This window comes from Homo sapiens, chromosome 17, assembly GCF_000001405.40.
Source record: "Homo sapiens chromosome 17, GRCh38.p14 Primary Assembly".
Lineage (NCBI taxonomy): Eukaryota > Metazoa > Chordata > Mammalia > Primates > Hominidae > Homo > Homo sapiens.
Window position 1 is genome coordinate 8953044 of NC_000017.11, and position 11261 is coordinate 8964304.

Consider the following 11261-nt stretch of genomic DNA (forward strand, 5'->3'; position numbering starts at 1 on the left):
GCTGGACTGTAATAGCACAGTGCCTTGGACCACAGTTGGGAGAATGAGGGAATGGGAAGTTGGACGCCTCCTTCTTTATTCATTGCACCCATTACATGGTCCAGCATTGAGGGCTTGCTTCCATCAACTTCCACAAGTCCCCACCATCTATCTGCTAGGCAACTCAAGTACCCTCTAGAACAGCCTTCTGAACCAACTCCCAAATGTCTCACATGCCTTGGACCTGAGCTACTTAGCCTCACTAGTTCAGAAATGTGTTTTCTTGATGCTTACATAAGGCTAGTCCTTGTTCAACTCCACCCATCATCTCCCTCCTCAACCCCACCCTTTAGGCCAAGCTCTGCCTCTCTCAAGTGGGAGGTTTTTATTAGCAAGTTCTTTAAAGGGCCACACCCTTATTTTTCTCTTGTTTTGCACAGTAAAGCAAATCCCCTCACACCAACAGCTATCATAGCACCGTGACCCACAGGCTAATGTGTTGAACTCACAGGAGCCTTTGCACCTTGGCCCTACCACTGGCCAGCTCACATTTGGCATCAAATGGGTTCAGAGGATGGATTCACCACTAAAAACAACCTCAGGTCTTCAGAAGTCAGGTGGTAAGAGTGAGCCCCATCTTTTGATCACCCACTCTTGGGTTACCCACCCACTGAAGAGGGGAAGTGGACTATATTCCTGTCCCCAGGGCCAAGAAAGCCCAACCCACCTTCCAAGACCTTTCCAGATACTTTTACTGAGGCCCAAGAGACAACAAGGGCTCTGGACACAAGCTCGTGTTTCTGTGAGAGCCATGGCAATGGTTCCAGGTTGGCAGGTGTGTGTCCTAGGGCTGCCACAGTCCTTGGAGGAGGCAGAGGGTCCAGTATCAGCCTCCTCAGCCCATTTCTCAGATATGCACGGAGAGAGTGTCACTCTCCATCATGCATGAGCTCTGAATTGGAATGGGGGAGTTATCGCTCCTGGGGAGTAATTTCCACCGCTCTCCCCTTCCCCCAGAAAGTGCTCTTTCCTCTGCAAAAAAAAAGAAAAAAAGAAAAAAAGAAAAAAGAAAAAGAAATAACTTTGTCCTTGCTTACTCTGACCCAAGCTCCCCCGGCTTGGGAGTGAGAAAAGGAAGTTTTTTGTTCTAGAGATTTCCACATTAGACTCAGAGGGAGGGCTACTTTTGTGAAAAATGCTTTGTATTTTTGCAAGGTGCAAAGGACCATATGCAAATTAATCAGTTAGTAATACTTTAATTTGCTCCCAATTTTTAAACCTGAATTTTACATCTCCCTTGTCCTCCAGGGTCAAGTAGGCCAGGCACCCCCTGGTGATGTTCGAAGAATCTCCAGAAATCCCTCAACAGTTTCTTCGCCTTACTCCCTCTGAAAACACAGCTCCTGATTGCCCTGATTGCCCCACAGCCTGGCACGGGCGGGACAGGAAGCCCCTCTGCCTTGTAAACACCGTGTTGCAAACAGACACTTCCCCAGGCTCTTATGCAGAAGCTGTCACCAGACTGGGAGTGGCTTGTTGGGGGAAGGTTCCCCAGGGCTTCCCCTGCTCTCAGACTTAGCTAACTGCTCATCTTAAATCTGACTAAATGGGAGGGTGGTAAGAAGATTCCCTGCCGGGTGCGGTGGCTCATGCCTTTAATCCCAGCACTTCGGGAGGCCGAGGCGGGTAGATCACCTGAGGTCAGGAGTTCAAGACCAGCCTGGCCAACATGGTGAAACTCCTATGTCTACTAAAAGTACAAAAATTAGCCTGGTGTAGTGGCGGGCACCTGTAACTCCAGCTATTCAGGAGACTGAGGCAAGAGAATTGCTTGAACCCAGGAAGCGGAGGTTGCAGTGAACTAAGATTGTGCCACTGCACTCCAGTCTGGGCAACAGGAGCAAAACTCCGTCTCAAAAAAAAAAAAAAAAAAAAGATTCCCAAGCAGAGGGTTCTCAGCACCTGGAGTTTGCATCTGGAGTTTGCCAGAGGCTCAGGGGTCTGAAGCAGCCCAGAGGAGGACACCTGCCTTGTCCCACAGTGGATCACAAAGCCACTGGTGTCTGAAGCCCTTGCAGTTGTGCACAGAAGACCAGTGATATGTCTGGAGGGTCCTTGAGGGGAGGATGACCGAACCCCACAGAGGTCTCAGATGGGGAGCAGCCCAGCCTGCCCGATCATCAGTCATCCAAGGCTGAGGCCCGGGCCTCTTCCATGCTGGCTGCTCGACCAGGCAATCACTCATTCAGCAAGCACTGATTGAATGACAAGTGCTGGCCCCTGCAAGGCACTGGAGAGTCAGCACTGAACAAAATGATTGGAAAGCTTCCCTCATTGGGAAGGGGATGAGTGAGGCAAGAACACACGTTAGGTCTTGGGAAAACTGAGTCAGGCAGTCTGGCTGGAGGAGAGCGTGATGATTCGTGGAGAAAGGAGTGGGACTCAACTTCGAAACCTGAACAGAAGACTAAGGACTCTGGACTCTCCCTAAGCAGTGGGGTGCCATCAAAGTATCTGAACACAGTGACATAGAAGTTTTCATAAGAAGAATCTCCTGGTGAAGAGAGGAAGAGCCTGTGGTCCAAAAGGCCCACCAGAGGCATATGGTAAATAAAGCCAAATTGGGTAGGAGAGAGAACAATGGGGAAGTGAGAGAAACAAGAGCCATGGAGAAAGGAAGCACCATCAAAACGGGCTGGGGAGTGGGGAACAAGGAAGATGGAGGGAGGACTCGGAGATGAGTCCAAGGTTTCAAGGCTGGGAGTCTGGTTTCAGCAGAGACAGAAATGGGGAAGTCTGCACAGGAAGCCTGCTTTGTGGATGCAGAGTTGGGCTCTGGATATTGCTCAAGTTGAAATAGGGCATCAAGTGAAAATAACCCGCATGTACTTGGAGGCCGAAGCAGGTAGATCACTTGAGCCCAGGAGTTTGAGAACAGCCTGGGCAACATAGTGAGACCCTGTCTCTACAAAAAACACACACAAAAAATTAGCTGGGCGTGGTGGCATACACCTGTAGTCCCAGCTACTCAGGAGACTGAGGCAGGAGGATCATCTGAGCCTGGGGAGGTTGACACTACAGTGATCTGTGATCGTGCCACTGTACTCCAGTCTGGGTGACAGAGTGAGACCCTTTCTCAAAAATAAAAAATAAAACAAAAATTTGTCGGGCATCAGACTTTATGGAGACTTCAAAAAAAAAAAAGATGCAGGTTGGGAAGAGACTATTGGAACTTGCCATTCCAGAGCCACCAGTGACCTGAAAGGAAGCCTTCCAGCAGAAGCATGGGCTAGAGGGTGGGTTTCTGCCATTGAGGTCTGAAGAGGGACTCATAGTCACTGGGAGTCCTGTCATAAGGTGGCACCATGAGGGAAGGAGCAGGTCCCCTCTCTGCTCAGCCCATCAGAGCAGCTCCCACAAGAAAACTCTTGGAGAGCAGGCTTTGAAAACTCCCAGGTGGTCAGAATCATAGAGTCCAGTTGGTCCAGGAGGAAACAGACTCAGCAAGATGAGGAAGTAATTAGGGGCCAGGACTAGAGATTACATCTCCTATTCCCATCCTGTAGCCCGTACATCACATCACAGCCCCCTGTGTTCTCTTAAGCACAATAACAGGCCAAGGAGAGCGCAGAGCTTTTCGTTTTCTCAAAATGAAACTCTCAACATGGTACAGAAGTGAATGCACAGTGCAAAGACCTATGAAACATTGACGTGAAAACCCCAAGAACAAGAGGACATCAATTCCCAGCTCAACCTGGAGGTGAGATAGGTTGGCCCCAAGATCTTATCTGGGACACTCACGGAGGAAGGCAATTTTGAAATGGTGTTCAATTAGTTTATTTTACCAAGTATCAGAAGGAGCCAAGAACAAGAGACCTCAAGAAAAGCCCATGCTCCCAGCAGAGGATGTGGGCGAGGATCCCAGTATCCATGAATGGCTATGGTTTTCTCACAGCCAAGGTGCTTCTGCTGCGGAGAACGGGCTGTGAAGCAGGGCTGTGGGGTTTCTGAGCAAACTGCCCAGCTTTGGGACCTGTTTATTCAAGGTCACTGAACTACTCAAACTCAAATCATGTTCTCAGAACAACCAGCGTTTACACAACCAGTCAGACATGGCCACCATGATTTAGAGAACTACAGGCTCTTTAAAAATAAGCTATATTGGTCTCCTTTCTCACGGCTATCATTTCCATAATATATAACATGTATTTTCCCTGCATACTTCCCCAACGGGAAACTAGCCACCACGAAGCCTCCCATTCCACTGTTGACCTGCTCTGAATTTCTCTGAGATCTTCCTTCTAGTGAGCTGGAGTCTATTTTCTTACAATTTTCCTTCTGTCATCCCTTTTCCATTCCAGAGAATGACACCCAGTTGAGAAGTCTTCACCTTTTTCAAAGGACACTGCTCGTCAAACATCTGAAGACAGATACTACTTCTCCTCTGTCTTCTCTTCTTGGAGAAAAACCTCGCTACTTCTTAATTACTTCATATTCTGTCATCGCTATCCTGGTCACCTATCTCTGGATATGAAGTGGTTGCTCAGCATCCTCCAAATGCAGCACCTGGAATTCACTCAAGGTGGATATGCCCAGTTCAGTGTGGAAATAGGCATGCTTGTTAGCTGAAGGGCATATAAAGTAAGGACCCATGGGACCTAGTGGCTGAACATTGGAAGCCAAGAATCAAAGATGGCTCTCGGGCATGAGCCTGGGAGCTCTGAGGTTTACAGATTTGTACCTGGGAGGACTGAGGAAGAGAGAAGAGAAGGAAGCTTGGGGAGTGGGAAGCCAAGAATCCCACAGTGGAAGACCTCAAGACTGGAGCCGTTCTCCCAGCTTCCAAGGAGCAGCTCATTCCCCGCTCTATAAGCTGTCACAGGGCGTGGGAGAAGGTAACGTGCTTCCAAAATCATTTGCAAAGTCAGTATATCAAAAACTGACAACGGCAGCACAGAAAAGGAAAATAGAGGTCAAATTCATTTCATGCAAAAATCCTAAAGAAAGGTGGGATGCGGTGGCTCACTCCTATAATCCCAGCACTTTGGGAGGCCAAGGCTGGTGGATCACTTGAGGCCAGGAGTTCGAGAGCAGCCTGGCCAACATGGTGAATCCCCGTCTCTACTAAAAATACAAAAATTAGCCAGGCGTGGTAGTGGGTGCCTGTAATCCCAGGTACTCAGGGGCTGAGGCATGAGAATTGTTTGAACCTGGCAGGTGGAGGTTCGCACCACTGCACTCCAGAGTGAGACTGTCTCAAAAAAAAAAAAAAAAATCCTAAAGAAAATCACAGCAAATCAAACCTAGCACAGTACTGAAGGAATAAAGCACCTTGACCCAATTGAGTTTACTCCAGAAATGCAGAGGGCTCAATATGTGGAAGCTAATGATCTAATGTGTCACATAAATCTATCACAAGGTGAAAGAGTACAAGAGTTTCCTTGCAGATGCTTTAAAAAAGTATTGGACAAATGTAACATCCATTCATGCTTTTAAAAATCCTTACAAAGGAGGAATTGAAGAAAACGTCCTTCACACATGGCACTTTACATCAAGGCACTGGTTCTAAAGAACTATGACCACATCAGAGAAACAAAGCCCCAAGCTCATGCCTGTCCCTGGGAACTTGGGAGGTTGCAGACTTTTGTGGCAAAGGAACAGTCATGCATGCCTCTCTGATCCGTAGACTGTTTATATTCATGTGTGTGGCCACAGACACCTTTTTTTTTCTCTCTCTCTTTTTTTTTTTTTCTGAGATGAAGTTTCCCTCTTGTTGCTTGGGCTGGAGTGCAATGGCGCGATCTCGGCTCACCACAACCTCCGCCTCCGTGTTCAATCGATTCTCTTGCCTCAGCCTCCCAAGTAGCTGGGATTACAGGCATGTGCCATCACGCCCGGCTAATATTTGTATTTTTAGTAGAGATGAGGTTTCTCCATGTTGGTCAGGCTGGTCTTGAACTCCTGACCTCAGGTGATCTGCCCGCCTCGGCCTCCCAAAGTGCTGGGATTACAGGTGTGAGCCACCACGCAGGGCCTTCTCTTTCACTCTTTAATCATCTTGGAAATGGGCTGAATTCAAAACTTGGTGAGAAATCCAACAACAGAGCAGTGGCCCAGTGTGCAGTCATGAGATGGCCCCCAGCACGCCGCTTCAGGGTTCTCACCAGTGAGTCGCTACCAGTGTCCTCTACACAGTTTTCATTATCCATCACTACCCCCAGCTTGCTTCTGACAACAGCTTCCTCCCACAGGGAGCTGTGCTGGGGATAATCCAAAGAAATCAGCACACAGAAAGTCATGTTTTCTAGAACAGGAGTTATTAACCTGGGTCCCTTGGTGAACTGCAGAGATCCAAGAAGACCTTAGAATTTTATGCAAAACTTTGAGCGAGAGAGACTGTGTGTGTGTGTGTGTGTGTGCACATGCATTCACATGTACATGTGTGCTTATGGGTGACGAGAGAGATGATCTTTCGCTTTCATCAGTTTTTCAAAGGGGCCAACTATCTAGAGAGAGTTTGAGACTCTCCTCGAAGAGTTGTCAGTGTAGATGTGATCTGGTTGCAGAACGCTCCCCCAGGAGGCTGGCTGGCTCGGCCAGGTTGGGTGGAAGTGGCTGTATGGAGATTTGCCTGAAAAGGGCCAAACCACCAAGCCATGCAGGAACAAATGCTCAGGCCAAAAACCCAGTGATACGTCTGCACAGACTTCATGGTTCTGGGGAGAAAGCTTTGGTGGAAGAAGGATATGGGAGCTGGACAAGTGACTTCCTAGATGAGACAGACAATCCAGATCAGGGCTTCTGAACCCTCCCAGAACAGCGGCTCCTAAGAGGAACAGAATGAAGGCCTGGCAAAAAATACGGTGGAGTTTTCTGTGGTTGGGGACTCAACTCCCTGAGCTGTTGATGGAGATGCACAAATGCAGAGGGCTCCTGAGCGGGACACGCTATCTGGTGATGGTCAGTGGAAAGGAGAAGAGAGGCCCCCCCATTAGTATTGATGACCTCAGCGTCCATAAGCTGGACCTTGGAATACGGGGAGGGGTGAGGAAGGTGGGAACGAGTCCCTGGTCTGTGTCAGACACTGAGAAGGGTGCTTGCCAGTAGTGCTATCATCTGATCCTCACAGGAGAGGGAGCCCACATACCCCACACATGAGATGTTGAAAAGAATGCTGGAGAGAATGCACTCAAAAAGCCCTTAGCAAGTATTCACTACATGGTAGGTATTAGTATTATGATTGTTATGATTCTCTTTTACTTTATATCTTTCAAGTCTCAACTCAAATATGACTTCTTCAGAGAAACCTTTCCTTAACCCCTCAACTATATTGAGTTCCCTTTCCATAATCTCATAGTATCCCATAATTCTCACAATTGTAATTGAACAATATGTGTGTTGCATGTCTTGTCTATGAGACTGTGAGTTCCACGGGGCAGGAACATTGCCTGTCTTGCTCAGTGTCCTCAGAGCTTGGCACATGCCTGGCTCACAGAAGGTGCGCTCCATGCAGAAGTGTTGAATGAACAAGTGAAATGTTAGCGATTAGGCAGGGGCCACATAAAGCATTGAGTGCCAGATTTCCATCCCACAGATGGGGAAACTGACATGCAGAGAGGTACATGGACTTAGCAAAGATCACGTGGCTAGGAGTTGGGGAGCCTGGCAGGAACTGGGCTCCATGTGAGCCACCTTCAGCCCTCACACCCCAGCCCTGCACTCTAACAAGGAAACCACACAAGCTCATTTGCCTAGGTCAACAACAACAACAAGACTCCTGAGGACATGAAAATGAAAAGCACACCACTCCCTCCGGGCCCCACCCCCAGCCCCCCACCCCATCCTGTGATCTGGCAACTTCTGCTGTTGCTGTGCATGGACGCCTTGCTTGTGAGATCCCAGGGAGTTTCAGAGTGACAGCCTGACGCCATGCTGAACATCAAGTGGCTAGGGTGAGCAGGCCATAGCTGTGCCAGGTCACTGGTCCCCCTGTAGGCCTGGGCGGTCAGTGCTATGGTGCGAAGACATAGAAAGCACAATGAAGAAGGAGGGGGCGGTCAGTGCTGAAGGGCAAAGGAAGAGCATCAGGGAAGGATTCAGAAGATGAGGCTTGAGCTGGGCTTCTAGGAGGAACTGGCAGTTCACCAGGCAGGCAGAGGCAGGGAAGAGCAATCTGGGGAGAAGCAACAGCACACGCAAAGGTGCAGAGGTCTCCTCAGGCTACAGGAGAGGAAGAAGGAGGGGTGGACCTGGGATGGGTGGTGGGTGTGGACCGTCTCTGGAAAGTCATGCAGCTCTGCAGCGTTTTCAGCTGAAAAGTGACTCACGCAGGCCGGGCGCGGTTGCTCACACCTGTAATCCCAGCACTTTGGGAGGCCAAGGCGGGCAGAACACCTGCGGTCTGGAGTTCGAGACCAGCCTGGCCAACTTGGCGAAACCCCATCTCTACTAAAAATACAAAAATTAGCCAGGCGTGGAAGCGGGCGCCTGTAACTCCAGCTACTCGGGAGGCTGAGACAGGAGAATTGCTTGAACCCAGGAGGCGGAGGTTGCAGTGAGCCGAGATCACGGCACTGCATTCCGTCCCGTGTGACAAGAGCGAAACTCTGTCTAAAAAATAATAATTTAAAAAAAAATGAAAATAAAAGTGACTCACGCAGATGTGTAATCTTACATCACCATGGCAGCAGGAGAGAAGCTCCATGGAAGCAGGAGTCTCCTGTGGATGCCGAACTCTAGGGCCCAAAGTCTAGCAAGCCACTTGATAGACTCAGAAGACTCAAGAAGGACCCAGGATCTTCTCTGTGCCATGAAAGTCATCCATTTCTTCCCATTCATCAGCCCCCAACCCCCTTTTGGGTGTAACTTGCTGTAGCTGTGACTCACTTATCTGGAAGTCACTTAACCGATAACCTCAACTATCCAGAACCTAGCTGCTATCCTACAAGCAAGCAACCAAACAAAAGCACCTCGTGGCCACAATTCATGCCCCCAAATTGTGTTGTATGGGGCATGCGCTTGACACCCACAGGAACACCTAGGCCACCACTTAGGCTTGGTCAATTCTGGTTAAGAGCAGACGCCAGAGTCAGCCCAGCTCTGGCACCACCTAAATGTGTGGCCTTGGCCCTCGGTTTTCTCATATGTGAAATGGGGGCAATAATTGTAGCTACCTCAGAGTGTGACTGTGAAGATTAAAGGACATGACATACTCAGCACAGTGCCCAACACCATGAAGTCATAGCCAAAGGAGAAAAGGACAGGGAGAAAGATGAAAGAGAACGAAGCATGAATGTACAAAAAGACACAGGGTACAAAAGAGAATGGCAGGCCAGAACCATTTGATGAAAATTTCAAGAAATTATTCAATCATATCCAACATGCTACATTTATAAATGCAAGCAACATACTTTACAAAGATTTCTTTTAAAACATAATACAATGAAAAGTTCTGATACTTAGAAGGTAGAGCTACTGGAAAAATTAATGTATGAAAGCTATGAGAACAACATAATTCTGTGTGGACCTGTGTATCGCTAACACATCCCCCAAATCTATAAAAAGTGCACTGTATTTAATAGAATCTAAGATGCCATCAATTGTAAGATGCACCGTTATTTTGTGTGGCAATAAGGAAGAAATATTGTTGCCTATTATAATTGGAAGATGCCATAAACAGTAAAATGCACCTTGATTTCAGTGAAATTCATACAATTAGCACATTCAGTGCTAAAATGTGAAAATATGTACATCTTCAAATTGATGAAATATTTTACTATGTAATATATGTTTGCTACGGGAGGGTATCATCTTCCCTTTGGGCAGAAGTCAGATGTACTCTTTCCTTTCTCTCCTCCCACCCCATCTATATCTGAGGCTCAAAAATCAAATTAAACACCTCTCCCTTGACTTGTTAAGGATCACTCTATCTTCTTCTTCCAGGAGCTTTCTCTGTTTTTTAAATTTTATTTTTTGTTTTTGTAAAGACAGGGTCTCACTCTGTTGCCCAGGCTGGAATGCAGTGACACGATCATAGCTCACTGCAGCCTCGAACTCCTGGCCTCAAAGCCTTGGCTTCCCAAAGTGCTGGGATTATAGGCATGAACCACTATGCCTGGCCAGCTTTCTTTCTTAACACATTGGTTCAGGCTTTTAGCTCACCAGCTGAGGCCAAACAGGCATTCTGGTTCTCAGAGGTCCCACAGGGCCACGCAGCTCAGTCCCTTGGGATGAGCATCTTTGAAGAAAGGCCAAGTCAGCACAGCTTGAGTGCTCAGTGGAACCCAAGCTGGGGCTTCCAAACTCTAGGCTACCCAGGCAAAAAGGATCCTGGCTCTCCTCCTCTCCCACTCCTCAGCCAGCAGGCCCCTGATGGATGGCTAACACAGGGGTATGGAGCAGCCTGCACCCCTGCCTTCTCATCCTCATGCCAACATCAACCCCAAATGCTCTTGTCACCCAGTGCCACCAGTTAGCATCCAACCTATTCTTCTTCTTCTTCTTCTTTTTTTTTTTTTGTTTGTCTGTTTGCTTGAGATAGGGTCTCTCTGTGTCTGCCAGGCTATAGCGCAGTGAAGCGATCATAGCTCACTGCAGCCTCGAACTCCTGGGGTCAAGCAATCCTCCCACTTAAGCTTCTCGAGTAGCTGGGCAACCTGTTATTCTTGAGGGCAATAATCAACAGTGAATGGGAGGGAGGAAAGGCAAGCAGGGAGGCAGAGACTGTCTGCTTCTACTGCAGCCTGAGGAGGGAAGATAATGAATCATCCCTCTCGTAAGCTAGAGATGAAAGGAGGGAGGTTCTTAAAACCCTAATGAGGCTCAGCACACAAAGACCCCAAGCCTTCCTGCCCTCACAGTCCTGGTTTGTGAGGCTTCAAAAAGCAGGGGAGGGAGCCCTGAAGCAAGAAAGTAGCTTGACCATCCAAAACTGTCTTCTTTGTCTTCCACGGGTCCACAGGCAAAGACCCACACCACCACAGCCACAACGAGGAAACACGGAAGCCAGCGTTCTACAAACATCCACGGAGCATCTCCCACGTGCAGCCGTTCTCATCATACATGCCTCACTTAATTTTCCACACTGGGCCAGGCACAGTGGCTCATGTCTATAATCCCAGCACTTTGGAAGGCCAAGGTAGACGGATCGCTTGAGCTCAAGGAATTTGGGACCAACCTGGGCAACATGGCAAAACCCTGCCTCTACAAAAAATACAAAAATTAGCTGGGCGCCGTGGTGCTGACCTGTAATCCCAGCTACTTGGGAGGCGGAGGCGGAGGAT

General features: G+C 48.4%; 1 protein-coding gene across 12 annotated transcripts in view, besides 2 other annotated features; it reads right to left on the reverse strand.

Moving 5' to 3' along the window:
- PIK3R5 (phosphoinositide-3-kinase regulatory subunit 5) overlaps positions 1-11261 on the reverse strand; it is an 86792-nt gene that overhangs the window by 74128 nt on the left and 1403 nt on the right. The window lies entirely within an intron of this gene.
- Positions 1639-2140: an enhancer, noted in NCBI's record as "H3K4me1 hESC enhancer chr17:8857999-8858500 (GRCh37/hg19 assembly coordinates)". NCBI's record gives its function as "activates a minimal SCP1, AML or CMV promoter by ChIP-STARR-seq in primed H9 embryonic stem cells {active_cell/tissue: H9 hESC(primed)}" and the evidence as "EXISTENCE:reporter gene assay evidence [ECO:0000049][PMID:30033119]".
- Positions 2141-2640: an enhancer, noted in NCBI's record as "H3K4me1 hESC enhancer chr17:8858501-8859000 (GRCh37/hg19 assembly coordinates)". NCBI's record gives its function as "activates a minimal SCP1, AML or CMV promoter by ChIP-STARR-seq in primed H9 embryonic stem cells {active_cell/tissue: H9 hESC(primed)}" and the evidence as "EXISTENCE:reporter gene assay evidence [ECO:0000049][PMID:30033119]".